This window comes from Homo sapiens, chromosome 4 (genome assembly GCF_000001405.40).
Source record: "Homo sapiens chromosome 4, GRCh38.p14 Primary Assembly".
Lineage (NCBI taxonomy): Eukaryota > Metazoa > Chordata > Mammalia > Primates > Hominidae > Homo > Homo sapiens.
Genome location: NC_000004.12, coordinates 117,852,809 through 117,870,391, shown reverse-complemented (window position 1 = coordinate 117,870,391; position 17,583 = coordinate 117,852,809). Strand labels below are relative to the sequence as shown.

The 17,583-nt window shown below is 34.2% G+C and overlaps 2 long non-coding RNA genes across 2 annotated transcripts in view; one reads left to right on the top strand and one right to left on the bottom strand.

Annotated features, from left to right (window-relative positions):
• Positions 1-443: 443 nt before the first annotated feature.
• LINC02264 (long intergenic non-protein coding RNA 2264) overlaps positions 444-17,583 on the bottom strand; it is a 35,548-nt gene continuing 18,408 nt past the window's right edge. Inside the window, exon 2 of the long non-coding RNA NR_147154.1 lies at positions 444-933. This is a non-coding gene — a long non-coding RNA (long intergenic non-protein coding RNA 2264). The remainder of the gene's footprint in view (positions 934-17,583) is intronic.
• The window catches only part of LOC102723914 (uncharacterized), a 52,393-nt gene continuing 43,075 nt past the window's right edge, over positions 8,266-17,583 (top strand). The window contains exon 1 of the long non-coding RNA XR_427579.4: positions 8,266-8,336. This is a non-coding gene — a long non-coding RNA (uncharacterized LOC102723914). The remainder of the gene's footprint in view (positions 8,337-17,583) is intronic.

The window sequence follows — 17,583 nt, the reverse complement described above, 5'->3', positions numbered from 1 at the left end:
TGGGTTTGCACTGAAGTTTTGCTTTTTACTCTTGTTTATAAGTGTATATTCCTATAATGTGATTGTCTTTAATTAAATGCACATTTCACCCATTTTAGTAAAAGAAGGTAAATAAGTACATTAAAACATGGCAAAATCTACAAGTGGTTCTACCTGAAAACCAGGCTGAAGATAAGATGGTATCTGGGATTCTTCAGCTCTCAAAATATAACATGTGCAACTTCTTTTAGTAATTATACTAATTGTGGAATTTAAAATACTTAGTAATCTCTTGTTTAAAATGAATATAATGAGAAATATGATTGCCTCTCACTTGAATTTCTTATTCCTTTAAAATGTGTCTTTTCCTCATTGCATTAAAATGTGCAGTTAAGCTTCAATGTTTTCTCAAAGCAAATTACTTTTCAGTTATGTAAGAAAGAAATAAAACATTCTGGTTGTGCAAAGTTTCTTGTCCACAGCATTTATGACATTTGAGAACAAATACTGGGCTGAATGGGACTTCTGGTTTGTATATTGCACCTTATTTGGTGGCTCAAGATGTCTTTTTGTGACACCACTCATACAAAAGTATCCAAGTGATCTGTCTTTGATAAAGACTGTTGAATAGCAAGTGGGCTACAGGTAATCAGTCAATAGAGCTGGAGTGAAGACAGAGTGAACTTTCAAGAGCAGTTAAGAGTTCAGGTTATTTTCCTCCTTTCCACTTTAAATACTTCACCTCCTTCACATGGTCCTCTCTTATCTCAATTTCTCTCCCATTTTGTTTCTTTCTCTCCCACATCTCCTTTGTTACCTAATCTTTGGGGTGGAAAATGAATCTACAAGAGGTATCAGAATTCTTCTTTGTTGTAATCTGTCCAAAAGGTTTTCTGGGTTTTTATTTTTACTTTCATGTTAACTGGAGCTGTCCTTAGAATTCCAATGAGTAAGCTAAAAGAGAGAGAATTAAAGAAAAAAAGAGATTAATATTTTGTTTATTTTTTGTTTTTATTTGTTGATTATGGAAACATTTAGACATACAGAGTGGAGAGAATAGTACTATGAATTCATGGGTTGTCATTACCCAGGTTAAACAATCACCACTGTGAATAATTTTTGTTTCATTTACCTTTCTCTATTTTCCCTCTGTTTTTGATCCTGAAGTATTTTAAAGTAAAACCCTGACATATTATTTCGCCACTTAAGTATGTCAATAAAGATTTCAGCAGATAAGGACTTTTGCTTCTGTCGATGATGGTACTCTGAAAAGCGGAAAACAGTCAGTATAATATTCTTCCATATTCTATGATAACCTTTCACACTAAATATATTGCATATAGTTGTGAAAAAACCTTGCTTTGTTCTCAAATACTGACAGTAAGGTTTTCCTACTACTTACCATGCTAGCTGTATTTACTATTTAATGAGAAACCATTTAGAGGACCTGAAATTCTATGTTGATAAACTCCCTATAGGATAGAAATGGTTTTCTTGTTTTGTAGTTATAACTATTATAATTTGGGGTCCTAGCAAATGCAATAATGCAGGTGTGAAATGCAGCATGCAGCAGCATGTTTACTCTTCTTTAAGTCCTAATGTCATTAGTAAGATGTTTTAAAAAATCCTTCCAAAGAGTTGAACCTCAAGAGGAGAGACAAAAAAAACAGGACAAATGATGTGTTCAGAGACACAGGATCCTATTTGGCAGGCTATGTAAAGTGTTCATGTTTTACTCCTAAAGGTAGAGGGGAGAAGGCTGTCTTGGAGGAGGGAAGACTAACACTAGTCCTAGGAAAGATGTCACTGTCATGCTTACTCCAGCCACAGTTAGTACAACTAATTCCCAGCTGTTGTAGATATAATGACCAATTGCACATAAGAAAACACAGATGAGGTTTTGATCTGTTTTCTTTCTGAGTTATTGATAGCATGTGTTGGTAGGTCAGTAAACTGACCCCTGACCATTGCACTCACTCTAAAGAAAGAGTTATAGCACATGTAACCTCTGGGCTAACACATGTTAATCTCAACCATAACTGCAACAATGCTGGCATTTCTGTGCCTGTTCAGGATCATGTTCATTTCTTTAAGGGCAAGGATTTTATCTCTTTTTGGTACGTTCATCTAATCTTGAGTCCCTGCTGGATGCATATTTTTTACTGGCTACTTCTTAATAAATTCTTTATGTCAAGTTTCTCTTCACTACATATCTCTTCAAAGGATAGTAGGGTGTTTATCCTGTGGCTCTACTTTTCTATTGCCTTTTGCTCATTTGTTTAGTTGGTTATAAGCTTTTATAGAAGATACATTTTCTTGACTATTTTATTTATTCCAAATTCTACTCAAGAGCCTTTTCTATAAATCTGTTAAGATTAGAATTAGAATTAGAATTAGATTTGATAAAGAAGACATTCAACTCTCTTATCCTTTCCCTAAGGATACCTCTGATGTCCTTGACTCTTTCGCTAAAATATTTCAAATGTGCCTTTGCTTAATAAACTCAACAATGAGAAGTTTTTCAAAATAGTCTATTTCATTATTGAAAGGCTTAATTTATTAGAAAATCATATTTTTTTGTATAAAACTGCCTCTCTAGCTTATACCCACTCATTTTTTTTTCACTTGGGAAAACCCTTTAGATATCGGTAGACATTTAAAATATCCCTTAACTCAGGGACGTGTAATACAGGTTAAAACTCCTACTAAGTTTAATTACTGAAAAGGATCTTTTTGTGCAAAGCTACTCTCTTGTCTGACAGATTAAGTAAAATTAAATTTTTTTATACATTAATAAAGTAAAAAAGTAACTAAAACAGAACAGAGGGGAAAAAGAGAAAGAGAGAAAGCTTAAGTTTCATCCTTCTATGCATCTCCATAATGCTACCTGAGTGTATTCATAATTGAAGCTAGATTCACCAATATAAATATTCACATACAAAATAGATGTCTTTGGAAAGTTGAAAGATAAAAGTAGATTTAAAATACCAAGAAGTAAAAAAAATTTAGAATGCTGGCTTTGTGTAGAAGATTATTTATTTCTAAAGATAAAAAGAGTTATACTTTATACAAACTACACATCTGCTATTTCTTTTCTTTCTAGCTTCTGAGATTTAAAAAATTTTTAATATTTTATATCTTTGTCTTTATATTTTCTCATGATACCTTATATAGGGATTGAAACATTGGCATTTAATGCTGTTTTGTAAATGATTAGTGATTGATCATTGTCCACCACCAACAACAAAAATGGTCATATTTAGCAAATCATGACTGCATTACATTTTGATTCTTAATTTAAGAAATATCTATATTTATTTTCAAGGGAGAAAGCTAGACTTAATGAAAAAAGTTTCAAGAGTTCTAAATCTTTAACAAACAGAATGTTGCTCAATTTCAAACTGTTTTGAAAGAGATTGAATGTAGAGAAGTTTAATAAAGTCTAGACTCTTCCGTTTTCTTCTTTTTTTGTAACTAAAGAGGAAAGCTTAAATCACATCTTAATATCAATATGTGGCTCAAGGGGCCAAGAACATTACAATATTTGAAAAATAACGTGAGCTCAATCTATCCTTTTCTTTGTAGCTTCTGATGCAATCAGGAAATGATTTAATGTGTTCCTGTCATTAATAATATAACAAGCTGTAACTAGAATGTACTGAACAACAATCAATTCATTTTGTTTTATTTCAAAATAGGGAAGAGAATGAAAAATAGAGCTCTCCAAATTGCTTAGTAAAATAACTACCCTTTCAAACTAGCAGCTTTCATTAATTCAGTACATTGGCACTGTGGAACTCTGGTGACATTTAGTAGCTCATTACCTTTCTTGAGAAAAAGTAAAAAACAGTGGGGTTATGTTTGTGTTCTTTTTCACTTGGCCAGCAAGCTATTTTTAGTGTAAATTATCCATAATACAAATGCATATCTTTAATCTTTGTCTACTTTTGCACACTTGTATTGCTTATTTATATACTTCATTTATAACATTTTCTTGAAATCTTGGCAGATATTTGCTTTCAGGACAAGATTTATCAAATTTATGAACCCAACACTCTATCCTGTTAAGGTAAAACCTAGGAGGAAAGACAATTCATACTGGGTGAGAGTGATTAATTTGTTAACAAGATTTAGTGACCATTTGTCTATCTTTACTGTGTCTCTAGTCAGAGTTATAAACTAGCATAAGATAGATTTAGTGACTATTTCTCTTTTTCAACTTGACTGTGTTTGTCATGAAAATTATTTTATCCTAAGGGAGCCTATGCCTTTTCATTACAACATACAGTTTAATAATAAACAGAGTGTTTAATAATATTTCATAGAATAAATAATAAAATATCTTTGGCAAATAAGTGATGAAAGTACTTTATACATATATTTGGTTTATAAAGAAACTGGGGCCTAGAAGGAGAAAGAGTGAAAGAATTTATCCTTAGAGTTCATCCTTTGAAGACATCACTTACGGTGTCTGGCAATCTGTTCAATTATTTCTCAGCCAGTACAAGCGTGCCTTCTACAGTGAAGACAATAAGTGATTGAACAGTTCTATTTAACAATAGTCCTCTTAAGTTACTTTCTGACAAACTGGAGCTATGAATAATTAGTTGGATTTTTCAGTACATCACAACATGATTACTCCTTAGCGATAGTGATTCACATATTATTCCCTCACACACATATCTTAAAGGAAATACTAAGGAGAATGCGTTTTTTAAACTTTATTTTATAGTTTCAACTCACACACAACTTGGAAAATTTAAATTAATGATACCATATCTAACATAAAACCTCTAACACATGCAGAAAATATTCTACTTTTATATCTAGGGAGAATCTTCGTATATCAGTTTTTTTAAAAGATATTTCAGAAGCTGCCTCAATGTGTGTGTTTGTGTTTGTGTGTGTGTGTGTGTTTAAATACAAGAGGACTTCAAAAAGTTCATGGAAACTGAAATTAAAAGATAAAAATAAAAAAAATATAACTTTACTTCTCAACATAAGCTCCATCAAGTTCAAGATGCTTTTTGTAGTGATGATATCAGTCATTTATTCCATTCCTAAAGAGCCGAGGGTCCTGAGAATTCTACATGTCAATGGACTCCTTTTTACATTATTAACAGAGAAAAATGAGGGCCCATTGAAAGTTGTTTTCATATTAGAAAACAAAAAGAACTCAGAAGGAGCCAACTCAGGACTGTAAGGTGAATGCCTAATGATTTCCCCTTAAAACGCTCTCAAAATTGCCCTTGTTTGATGAGAGAAATGAGCATGTGCATTGTGGTGATGGAGAGGGACTCCCAGCAAAGCTTTCTAGGGCATTTTTCTGCTAAAGCTTTGGCTAATTCCAAACACTTATAACAAGTAGATGTTACTGTTCTTTGGTCGTCCATAAAGTCAACAAACAAAATGCCTTGAGCATCACAGAAAACTATTGCCATGACCTTTGTTTTTGACTGGTCTGCTTTTGCTTTGACTGCACCACTTCCATCTCTTGTTAGTCATCGCCTTGATTGTGCTTTGTCTTCAGGATCATATTGGTAAAGCCATGTTTCATCTACTGTTACAATTCTTCAAAGAACTACTTCAGGATCTTGATCCCATTTGTTTATTTTTTTAAATTTAAATTCAGCGGGGTACATGTGTGTATTTTTTACATGTATATATTGTTTTATAGCGGGGATTGGGCTTCTAGTGTACCCATCACCCAAATATTGATGGGTACACTATTCTATTATTTCCATGGATCCAGTGGATCCATGTGTATCCGTTGTTTAGCTCCCACTTATAAGTAAGGATATGTGGCATTTGATTTTCTGTTTCTTAGTTTACTTAGGATAATGGAGTCCAGCTCTATCCTTACTGCTGCAAAGAACATGATTTCATTCTTTATAATGGCTGCATAGTATTCCATGGTGTTTATATACCACATTTTCTTTATCCACTTATCTGTTGATCGACACTTAGGTTGGTTCCATGACTTTGCTATTGCGAATAGTGCTGTGATAAACATATAAATGTATGTGTATTTTTAATATAATATAATGTTTTCCTTTGAGTTGATATAAAAATAGAAAATTGGATTTAAACTAAAATGCTTCTTCACAACAAGAGAAATAATCAACAGAGTAAATAAACAACATGCATAATGGGAGAAAATATTTGCAAATTATCCTTCTGATGAAGGATCAATATCCAGAGTCTACAAGGAACTCAACTCAACAAGAAACAAACAACTCCATTAAAAACTGGGCAAGGCATTGAACAGGCATCTCAAAAGAAGAGATATAAGTAGCCAACAAACACATGAAAAAATGCTCACCATCACTAATCATCAGAGCAATGCAAATTAAAACTTCACTGAGATATCATCTTACATCTTCAGAACAGCTATTGTTAAAAGTCAAAAAACAACGCATGTTGGTGTGGATGCAGAGAAAAGGGAATGCTTATGTGCTATTGGTGGGAATATAAATTAGTTCAACCTCTATGGAAAACAGTCTAGAGATATCTCAAAGAACTAAAAACAGAATTACCATTTGACCCAGCAATCCCACTATTGGGTGTCCACTTCTTTAAAATTTCCATTGAAAACTCTGGTCTTGTCTGCAGCTGGTCTGGGTGCAAAGATTTTGGCATCCATCAAGTGGAGTTCACGCAACTTTAATTTTTTTAGTCAGAACTGTGTAAGCTGATCCAATTGAGATGTCTATGGTGATGGCTATTGTTTCTGCTGTTAACACTGGTCCTTTTCAATTAGGGCACAGCCAAAATTAATTTTTTTTCCTCACAAATTGATGTGGGTGGTCTGTAGCTGTAGTCATCCTCTTCAACACTATCTCATCGCTTCCTAAAAATGAGTTATTCATTTGTAAACTGCTGATTTCTTTGGGGGCATTGTCCCAATAATCTTCTTGTAAAGCATCAGGGATTTCACCATTCTTTCACTTAAGATTCATCATCAATATGCTGTTTGTTCTTGCTTCAATTTTAGCAGAATTCCTGTTGCCCTGATAGAAGCTGTTTTCACACTGATGTCTTTTTCTTCTTAGTGCTTCAAACTAGATCCTGTTCAGAAATGTGATAACAATAACTTGTACAAGTTATTTTGGTGCAAAAAATTGAAATTTATGCACTTTTTTTTGTTTTTGTTTTTGTTTTTTTGAGACGGAGTTTTGCTCTTTTTGCCCAGGCTGGAGTGCAATGGCACGATCTTGGATCACCACAACCTCTGCTTCCTGGCTTCAAGCGATTCTCCTGCCTCAGCCTCCAGAATAGCTGGGATTATGGGCATGCGCCACCATGCCCAGCTAATTTTGTATTTTTAGTAGAGACGGGGTTTCTCTATGTTTGTCAGGCTGGTCTGGAACTCCCGACCTCAGGTGATCTGGCCGCCGCAGCTTCCCAAAGTGCTGGGATTACAGACATGAGCCACCGCGCCTGGTCCCTGGGTTTTTTTTTTGTTTTTGTTTTTGTTTTTTTTTTTTTGAGATGCAGTCTTTCTCCGTCACCCAGGCTGGAATGCAGTGGCGCAATCTCAGCTCACTGCAACCTCCGCCTCCCGGGTTCAAGCGATTCTCCTGCCTCAGTCCTCCAAGTAGCTGGGAATACAGAAGCATGCCACCATGCCTGGCTAATTTTTTGTATTTTTAGTAGAGATGGGGTTTCACCGTGTTAGCCAGGATGGTCTCGATCTTCTGACCTCGTGATCTGCTCACCACGGCTTCCCAAAGTGCTGGGATTACAGGTGTGAGCCACTGCACCCAGCCTGTTTTTTTATAATACACATTTTCCATGAACTTTTTGAAGGCCCCCTCATATATCAGCTTTATTGCAGCATAGTAAAAATGCTTTTAAATGTATTTGCAAATGTGACAACAATGGGAGAGATTTTCATAGACTTTCTGTTCCCTGCTGAGTAGGGATGTAGGTAGAAAGGATGGTCTTAAAATTTCAAAGCTTTTAATATTATTGTTTAAAACTAGGTCAATTATTAACTTATGCTAAACAAAGCAAGATTAATGAAACTGAAAAATTCCTTGAAGATATTAATAAAGTATTTTTATTGTATCGTTTTGTTTCAACTCCACTCTTCTTAACTTTCCAAGAGATTTTCAGGAAAATGTTTTTCTTTTCTGTATAACGCATATCAGTAGCTTATAAATTCTCTACCAGTATTTAAATGGAGTACACATATTCTGGATATTAAGCTTAAAAATAATATTTTCAATAACTTGTGTGTGGTCAAATGAATATTCACATGACAAAAATGTCTCTACTCTTTCATTTCAGTTGCATCTTTTCAACAAAGTTGACTCTCTCCCTACAAAGGAAAGTTTGTATCAGCTACTGAGAAGGTAATATGTTCTCTATGATATTTTCTAGTATTTTCAACTATTGATGTCAGTAATATGCATATATTATATGCTTCTTAAAATATGGCTCTGATTATATTATAAATTTTCAGAATTTGAATTGCTAGGTTAATAATATGCAAGCTATTCTTCAAACAAGTCGAATAATTTACATTGCCAGCAGTAAAGGTGGAGCATACCTGTTTGCCCACAGTCTGATTAACACTGGTTAATATTCATTTAAGCCAACTTTGCAACTGGTAGATTAGAAATGGTATTTACTTATTTCAGAAATTATATTTTGAGTTTATTTACATTAATAAATTGCTCCTTTATAGTATTTTTCTATTTTTTTTCTCTTGAAAATCTATTTCTTATTGACTTGGAATTTATACACACACACACATACTTTTTTTTTGTTTTGTTTTGTTTGAGATGGAGTCTTGCTCTGTCGCTCAGGCTGGAGTGCAGTGGCACAATCTTAACTCACTGCAACCTCTGCCTCCTGGGTTCAACAGATTCTCCTGCCTCAGCCTCCCGAGTAGCTGGGATCACAGGCACACGCCACCATGCCTGGCTAATTTATTTTTAGTAGAGATGGTGTTTTGCCATGTTGGTCAGGCTGGCCTCAAACTCCAGACCTCAAGTGATCTGCCCGCCTTGGCCTCCCAAAGTGCTGGGATTACAGGTGTGAGCCACTGCGCCCAGCCGCACAAACAATTTTTGATTGCTTTTTAATTTGATGGTGTTATTAAAACTGTATACTATTTAGAGATCTTGACAGCCACCCCCAAATTTATCTTCATGTTCTCTTTCAGAAGCTGAAAAATTACTTACAAATAAAGTCACAGGAACTGGTATATCTCTACAGATTCCTCATGAAACATTCAGACATATCTGTTTATGAGATACACAGAAGTAAACAGAATCATTACACTAATGTTTAAGTAAGCTTTTATGGAAGAATAATATACATATATTGTGCACAAGTCATTAGTGCACAAATTCATAAATTTTTCAAAAGTAAACTATCATCCAGGTTAAGAAAAAGTATATCTCACATTTTTAGAACCTTAAAAGCCCCTTTCGTGCATTTTCCAGTCACTGCTTCCATAAGGAGTCATCACTGTGGGGTTATAGTGTCAGAAACTGATTTCCCTTTAGCTTTACATAAGTTAAATAATAAAGTGTGTAATCTTTCCTGTCAGCTGTTTTTCATTTTACGCTATATGTACGAGATCCATCTTGTTCATTGATTGTTATGTGTAGTTAAAATTCTTTTATTTTTATTGCTATAAAGCATTCCTGTAGATTACTATAACACATTTATATATCTCCTATGCAGATTAGAGATAATTGGTAGGTCTCAGTACTGGCTTTGCGAACAGAACTCTTAGGAACATTGTTGTATATGTTTTGTGGTAAGGATATGCATGGGTTTGAGTTTTATGTATACTTAGGAATTAAGCTGTGGAGTCAAAGCATTCATGTATATGTTTGGCATTAATAGCTACTGCCAAATCGTTTTCCAAAATGGTTGTATCGGTTTACCAGTCCCTGATATGAGAGACCCAGTTTCTCCACATCTTTCAAATTACTTGATGTATTCATTTGCAGTTGTTGTGTAACACATTACTGCAAATTTAGTGGTTTAAAACAATATATGTTTGTTATTTTACAGTTTCTATAGGTCAGAAGTTAGAGAATGGCTTAATTATATTCTTTTTTTAGGGACTCACAGGCTGAAATTAAGGTGTTGGACAGGCTGTGTTCTCATCCAGGGGCTTGACTAGGAATGGATTCCTTTCCAAGCTCTTTACATTTTTGGCAGAGCTAATTTCTTTGTAATTGTCTAATTCTTGACAAAGCTTGCTTCTTCAAAACTATCAATGGAGACAGTTTTTGCTCTTACTTCTAGACCTTTTTCAAAAGGCTCACCTGATTAGGTCATATCCGTACAGAATTATCAACATGGTGAAATTCTGTCTCTACTAAAAATACAAAAAAAAAATTGCCCAGGCGTTGTGGCGCGCGCCTGTAATCCCAGCTACTCGGGAGGCTGAGGCAGGAGAATCACTTGAACCTGAGAGGTGGAGGTTGCGGTGAGCTAAGAACATGCCATCGCACTCCAGCCTGGATGACAAGAGTGAAACTCCATCTCAAAAAAAAAAAAAAATTAGGTTTGGGGGTGCATGTGAAGGTTTGTTGCATAGGGAACCTGTGTTTTAGGATTTGTTATACAGATTATTTCATGGCCCGGGTATTAAGCTCGGTACCCACAGTTATCTTTTCTGCTCCCATCCCTCCTCCCACCCTCCCTGATCAAGTGGACCCCAGTGTCTGCTGTTTCCTTTGTGTTCATAAGCTCTTATCATTTAGCTCCCATTTATAAGTGAGAACAGTTGTTATCTGGATTTCTGTTCCGCATTAGTTTGCTAAGGATAATAGCTCCATCCACATTCCCACAAAATACACAATCTCATTTTTTATGGCTGCATAGTATCCCATGATGTATATATACCACTTTTTCCTTATCTAATCTGTCATTGATGGGCATTTAGGTGATTCTATGTCTTTGCTGTTGTGAATGGTGCCGCAATGAACATTCACATGCATGTACCTTTACGGTAGAATGATTTATATTCCTCTGGGTATTTACCCAGTAGTGGGATTGCTGGGTCAAATGGTAGTTCTGCTTTTAGCTCTTTGAAGAATCACCATACTGCTTTCCATAATGATTCAACTAATTCACACTCCCACTAATAATGTATAAGTGTTCCCTTTTCTCCACAACCTTGCTGGCATCTGTTATTTTTTTGGCTTTTTATTAATATCCATTCTGACTGGCGTGAGATGGTGTCTCATTGTGGTTTTGATTTGCATTTCCTAATGATCAGTGATATAGAGCTTTTTTTCATATGCTTGTTGGCCGCATGTATGTCTTCTTTTGAGAAGTATCTGTTCATGTCCTTTGATCACATTTTAATGGGGTTATTTTTCTCTTGTAAATTTGTTTAAGTTCCTTATAGATGCTGGATATTAGACCTTTGTTGGACTCATAGTTTGCAAATATTTTCTCCCATTCTGTAAGTTGTCTGTTTACACTGTTGATGTTTCTTTTGCTATGCAGAAGCTCTTAAGTTTAATTAGATCCCATTCGTCAATTTTTGTTTTTGTTGTGATTAATTTTGGTGTCTTTGTCATAAAATCTTTGCCTGTTTCTATGTCCAGGATGGTAGTGCCTAGGTTATCTTCCAGGATTTTTATAGTTTTGGGTTTTACATTTATGTCTTTAAAATCCATCTTGAGTTGATTTTTGTACATGGTAAAAGGAAGGGGTTCAGTTTCAGTCTTCCACATATGGCTAGCCAGTTATCTCAGCACCATTTATTGAACAGGGAGTCTTTTACCATCGCTTGTTTTTGTCAGCTTTGTCAAAAATCAGATCGTAGATGTGTGGCCTTATTTCTGGGCTGTCTATTCCTTTCCATTGGTCTATGTGCCTGTTTTTTACCAGTACCTTGCGGTTTTGGTTACAGTAGCCTTGTAGTATAGTTTGAAGTCAGGTAACAAGATGCCTTCAGCTTTTCTCTTTTTGCTTAGGATTGCCTCAGCTATTTGGGCTCTTTTATGTTCTATGTGAATTTTAAAACAGTTTTTCCTAGTTCTTTGAAGGATGTCATTTGTCGTTTGGTAGGAATAGCATTGAATCTATAATTACTTTGGGAAGTGTAGTCATTTTAGTCATACTGATTCTTCCTATCCGTGAGCTTGGGATGTTTTTCCATTTGTTTGTGTCTTCTCTGTTAAGAGGGAAATTTATAGCACTAAATGCCCATATCACATGTTAGGAAGATCTTAAATTAACAACCTAACTTCACAGCTGAAAGAATTAGAGAAGCATGAACAAATCCACCCCAAAGCTAGCAGAATTAAAGGATATAGAGACATGAAAAACCATTCAAAAGATCAACAAAACCAGGACTTGGTTTTTTGAAAAAAATAATACAATAGATAGGCCAGTAGCTAGATTAATAAAGAAGAAAAGAGAGAAGATCCAAATAAACACAATTAGAAATGACTAAAGCAATGTTACTACCAACCGCACAGAAATAAAAACAATGATCAGAAACTACTCTGAACACCTCTACACACATAAACTAGAAAACCTAGAAGATAAGGTTAAATTCCTGGACACATACACCCTCCTGAGACTGAGCAAGGAAGAAATTGATTCTCTGAACAGAGCAATAACAAGCTCCAAAATTGAATCAGTAATAAATAGCCTACCAACCAAAAAAAGCTGGGGACCTAATGGATTCAGAGCCAAATTATACAAGATGTACAGAGAAGGGATGGTAGCATTCCTACAGAAACTATTCCAAAAAATTGAGGAGGAGAGACTCCTCCCCAACTCATTCTATGAGGCCAACATCTACTTGATACCAAAATCTGACAGAGACACAACCAAAAAAGAAAAGTTCAGGCCATTATCTTTGATGAACATCAATGAAAAATCCTCAACAAAATATTGGCAAACTGAATCCAGCAGCACATCAAAAAGCTAATCCACCATCATCAAGTAGTCTTCATCCTTGGGATGCAAGGTTGGTTCAATACATGCAAATCAATAAATGTGATTTGTCACATAAATAGAATTAAAGACAAAAACCACATGATTATGCCAATAAACACAGAAAAGGCTTTTGATAAAATTCAACACCCTTCATGTTAAAAACTCTCAATAAAACAGGTATTGAAGGAACATGACTCACAATAATAAGAGCCATCTATGACAGACCCACAGCCAGCATTATACTGAATGGGCAAAAGCTGGAAGCATTCCCCCTTGAAAACCAACACAAGACAAGGATGCCCTCTCTCACCATTTCTGTTCAATATAGTATTGGCAGTCCTAGCCAGAGCAATCAGGCAAGAGAAAGAAATAAAGGATATCCAAACAGGAAGAGAGGAAGTCAAGCTATCTCTATTTGCAGACAGGATTCTTATCTAGAAAACCCTACAGTCTCGGCCCAAGAGCTCCTCGAGCTGATAAACAACTTCGGCAAAGTTGAAAGATACAAAGCCAATATACAAAAATCACTATCATTCCTATACACCAACAACAGTCAAATCAAGAGCCAAATCAGAAAGGCAATCCCATTCACAATTGCCACAAAAGGAAGAAAATACCTGGGAACACAACTAACTAGGGAGGTAAAAGATATTTGCAATGAGAATTACAAAACACTGCTCAAAGAAATCAGAATAATCTTTTCTATTAACTTAAAGTAAACAGATTAGAGACCTTAATTATCTACGCACAATCCATTCACTTTTGTCATATTGTATTGGAACCAATTTACAGATGCTGCCCATACTTTAAGGTTGGGGATTACACAAAGTCCATAGATACAAAGATGCTGAACTCATGGATCTTAGAATTCTGCCTTCCACACTTAGTTTTGTTTACTTTTTAATTTTAGCCATTTTGGTGACATTGACTTTTGGTTTTAATTTCCATTTCCCCGATGTCATGAAATGGAGCACATTTTCATATTTCACGGTTCATTCGTATATCCTCTTTTGTCAAATGTCTGTTAAAGTCTTTTGCCCGTTCATCTACAGGTTTGATTCTATTGCTTATGGACTGAGAGGATTTCTTTACTGTTTCAGTGGCATGGTATAGTTAATAATAATACTTAATTTTAATGTAGTTTTTCTTATAATTTATTCTTTATGCTTAGTATGTTTTGTACCTTATTTAATTAATAAATTTTTGCCTAACCCAAAGTCATGAATTTTGTCTCCTATGTTTTCTTCTAAAAGCTTTCCCTTTTACTTTCCATAATTCATATTAAACAATCTAGAATTGATTTTACAATATTGTGTTAAGAGTTACTTTTACTATGTAGATATCCTCTTATGTGTGCGCAGAATCAGTAAATGGCACCAGAGGAATCAGGGTTGTAGTGTGTCAACTCACTTTTTTGTTTTTCTGCCTTCTGATACCTACACTCCTGTCATCCTCAAAGCTTTTGCAGCTCTCTAATACCTTTAAACAGATAATTTTTGAATTTTATTTTGCTTTTGTAACTGTTCTAGTGGGAGCCATGTGTTTTTGTTTTATTATAAATTCATAATATTTTACATATTTATAAAGTACATGTTGTTTTGTTACGTGCATAAAATATGTAATTATGAAGTCAGGGTATTTGAGGTGTACATCATTTTGAGTTATTTCTCATCTCTATGTGTTAAGAAAAATTCAAGTTCTCTCTTCTAGCTAGTTTAAAATATACAATACATTGTTATTAGCTATAGTCACTCACTTTGCTGTTGAATGATAGAACTTTTACCTTTCATTTAACTGTTTGTTTGTATGTGTTAACCTACCTGTCTTCATCCCATCCAACCACACTTCCCAGCATATGGTATCTATCATTCAACTCTCTATTTTTGTGAAATCAACTTTTTTAAACTCATAAAAATGAGTGAGAATATGTGATAGTTTTCTTTCTATGACTTGATTATTTCACTTAACATAATAACCCTAGTTTCATTCATGTTGCTGCAAATAACATGATTTCATTATTTTTTAAATGGCTGAATAGTATTCCATTATGTATATGTACCACATTTTCTTTATCCATTCATCCACTGATGGACATTTAGGTTGATTCCATGTCTTTGCTATTGTGAATAGTGTTGCAATAAACATGCCAGTGCAGGAATCCCTTTGATGTATCGATTTGTTTTCCTTTGAATAGATAACCAGTAGTGTGATTGCTGGAGCTATGGTAGTTGTAATTTTAGTTCTTTGATAAATCTCCATACCGTTTTCCATAGTGGTTGTACTAACTTAGATTCCCACCAACAGTTTATAAGAGTTTTCTCCACATCAGCACCAGTATGTTATATATTTTTTTGGCTTTTTAATAATAGGCATTCTGACTGAGGTAAGATAATACTTCATTGTGGTTTTGATTTGTGTTTCCCTGATGATTAGTATGTTGAGCATTTGTTCATATACTTGTTGGCTATTTGTATGTCTTCTTTTAAGAAATGTCTATTCATGTCCTTTGTCCACTTAAAAATTGTTTGCTGTTGTTTGAGTTCCCTGCATATTCTAGATATTAGTCCTTTGCTGGTTGAATAATTTGCAAACATTTTGTTCCATTCAACAGATTAGTACGTCACTGTTAATGTTTTTTTTTCTTGCTATAGAGAAGTTCTTTAGTTAATATAGTCTTCTTTGTCTATTTATGTTGTAGTTTGCTATGCTTTTGAGGTCTTAGCTGTAAATTTTTTTTTGCATAGACCAATGTCCTGAAGTGTTTTCATTATAATTTCTTCTAGAATTTTTACAGATTCGGGTCTTACATTTGAGTCTTTAATGTATCTAGAGTTGATTTTTGTATGTTGACGATAGGAGTCCAATTTCATTCTTCTGCATATTGCAATACAACTTTCCCAGGACAATTTAGTTAAAAAGGTGTATTTTCCCTAGTATATATTCTTGGTGCCTTTGTCAAAAATCAGTTGGCTGTAAATATGTGATTTTATTTCTGGGTTCTATATTCTGTTTCATTGGTTCTATATTCTGTGTCCATTATTATACTAATACCATGCTGTTTTGGTTGCTATCACTTTGTAATATATTTTGAAGTCAAGTAGTGTGATACCTTCAGCTTTGTTCTTTTTGCTTAGGATTGTTCTGGCTCTTTGGGCTCCTTTTTTGTTCCATATGAATTATAGGATTATTTTTTATATTTTGGGGAAAATGACATTGCTATTTTGATAAAATTGCATTGTAGCTGTATACTGCTTGAAGCAGTATGATCATTTTAATAATATTAATTCTTCTGATTCATGAGCATGGGATAGCTTTCCATTTGTTTGTGTCCTCTTCAGTGTTTTTCATGAGTATTTTGTAGTTTTCCTTATAGAGATCTTTCACCTTGGTTAAATTTATTCCTACGTTATTTTTTCTTACCTATTGTAAGTGGGATTGCCTTGCTGATTTTTTTGTCTGTTTTATGATTGTGTATAGAAATGCTACTAATTATTGTATATTGATTGTAAGTGTTCTGCAGCTTTATTAAATTTGTTGCAAATAGAGATGATTTGACTTCCTTTGTTCCAGTCTGCATGGTTTTTTTCTTTTTCTTGCCTAATTGTTTTAGCTAAGACTTTTAGTACTATATTGAATGGGGATGTTTAAAATGGGCATCCTTGTCTTGTTCCAGTAATTAGGGTAAATGGTTTCAACTTTTCCTTATTTAGTTTAAAGTTGACTGTGGGTTTGTCATACATAACCTTTATTATTTCGAGGTCTGTTATTTCTATGCCTAGTTTGTTGAGAGTTGTTATCATGAAAGATATGGAAGTTTATCAAATGCTTTTGCTGTGCCTATTGAGATAATCATATGGTTTTTTTCTTTCATTCTGCTGATGTGCCATGCCACATTTATTGATATGTGTATGTTAAACTATTGTTGCATTCCTCACATAAATCTCACTTGATTGTGATGTATTATCTTTTTGATGTGTTGTTGAATTTGGTTTGCTAGTATACTGTTGAGGATTTTTGCATCTATGTTTATCAGGGATATTGGCCTGTAGTTTTTGTTGTTGTTGTTGCTGTGTCCTTCTCTGGTTTTGGTATGAAGGTAATATTGGCTTCATGGAATTAATTAGGAAGAGTTCCCTCCTCTTTAATATTTTGGAATAGTTTGGGGATGATTGGTGTTTATATGTATATTAGAAAAGGCAGTGAATCTATCTGGTCCCGGGCTTTTCTTTGTTGGGAGATTTTTAAATTACTATTTCAATACTACTAATTATTGGTCTGTTCAAGTTTTCTATTTATTCCTGATTCAATCTTGGTAGGTTGTATGCATCCAGGAATTTATGTATTTCCTCTAGGTTTTCTAATTTGTTAGCATTTAGTTGTTCATAATTGTCTCTGATGAGCTGTTGTATTTCTGTAGTATTAATGTCTCATTTTTGATCTCTTTGTCTTCTCTCTTATTTCCTTGGTTAGTCTAGCTGGTGGCTTATAAAGTTTGTTTATCGCTTAAATAACCAACTTTGTGTTTCATTGATTTTTTATTCCTTATTTTTGTATAATTTTAATCTGATTTTTATTATTTTTTTATTCTGCTAATTTTTGGTTTGGTATGTTCTTGCTTTTTTAGTTCTTTGAGTGGCAATGTTAGATTGTTTATTTTACCTCTCTCCATTCTTT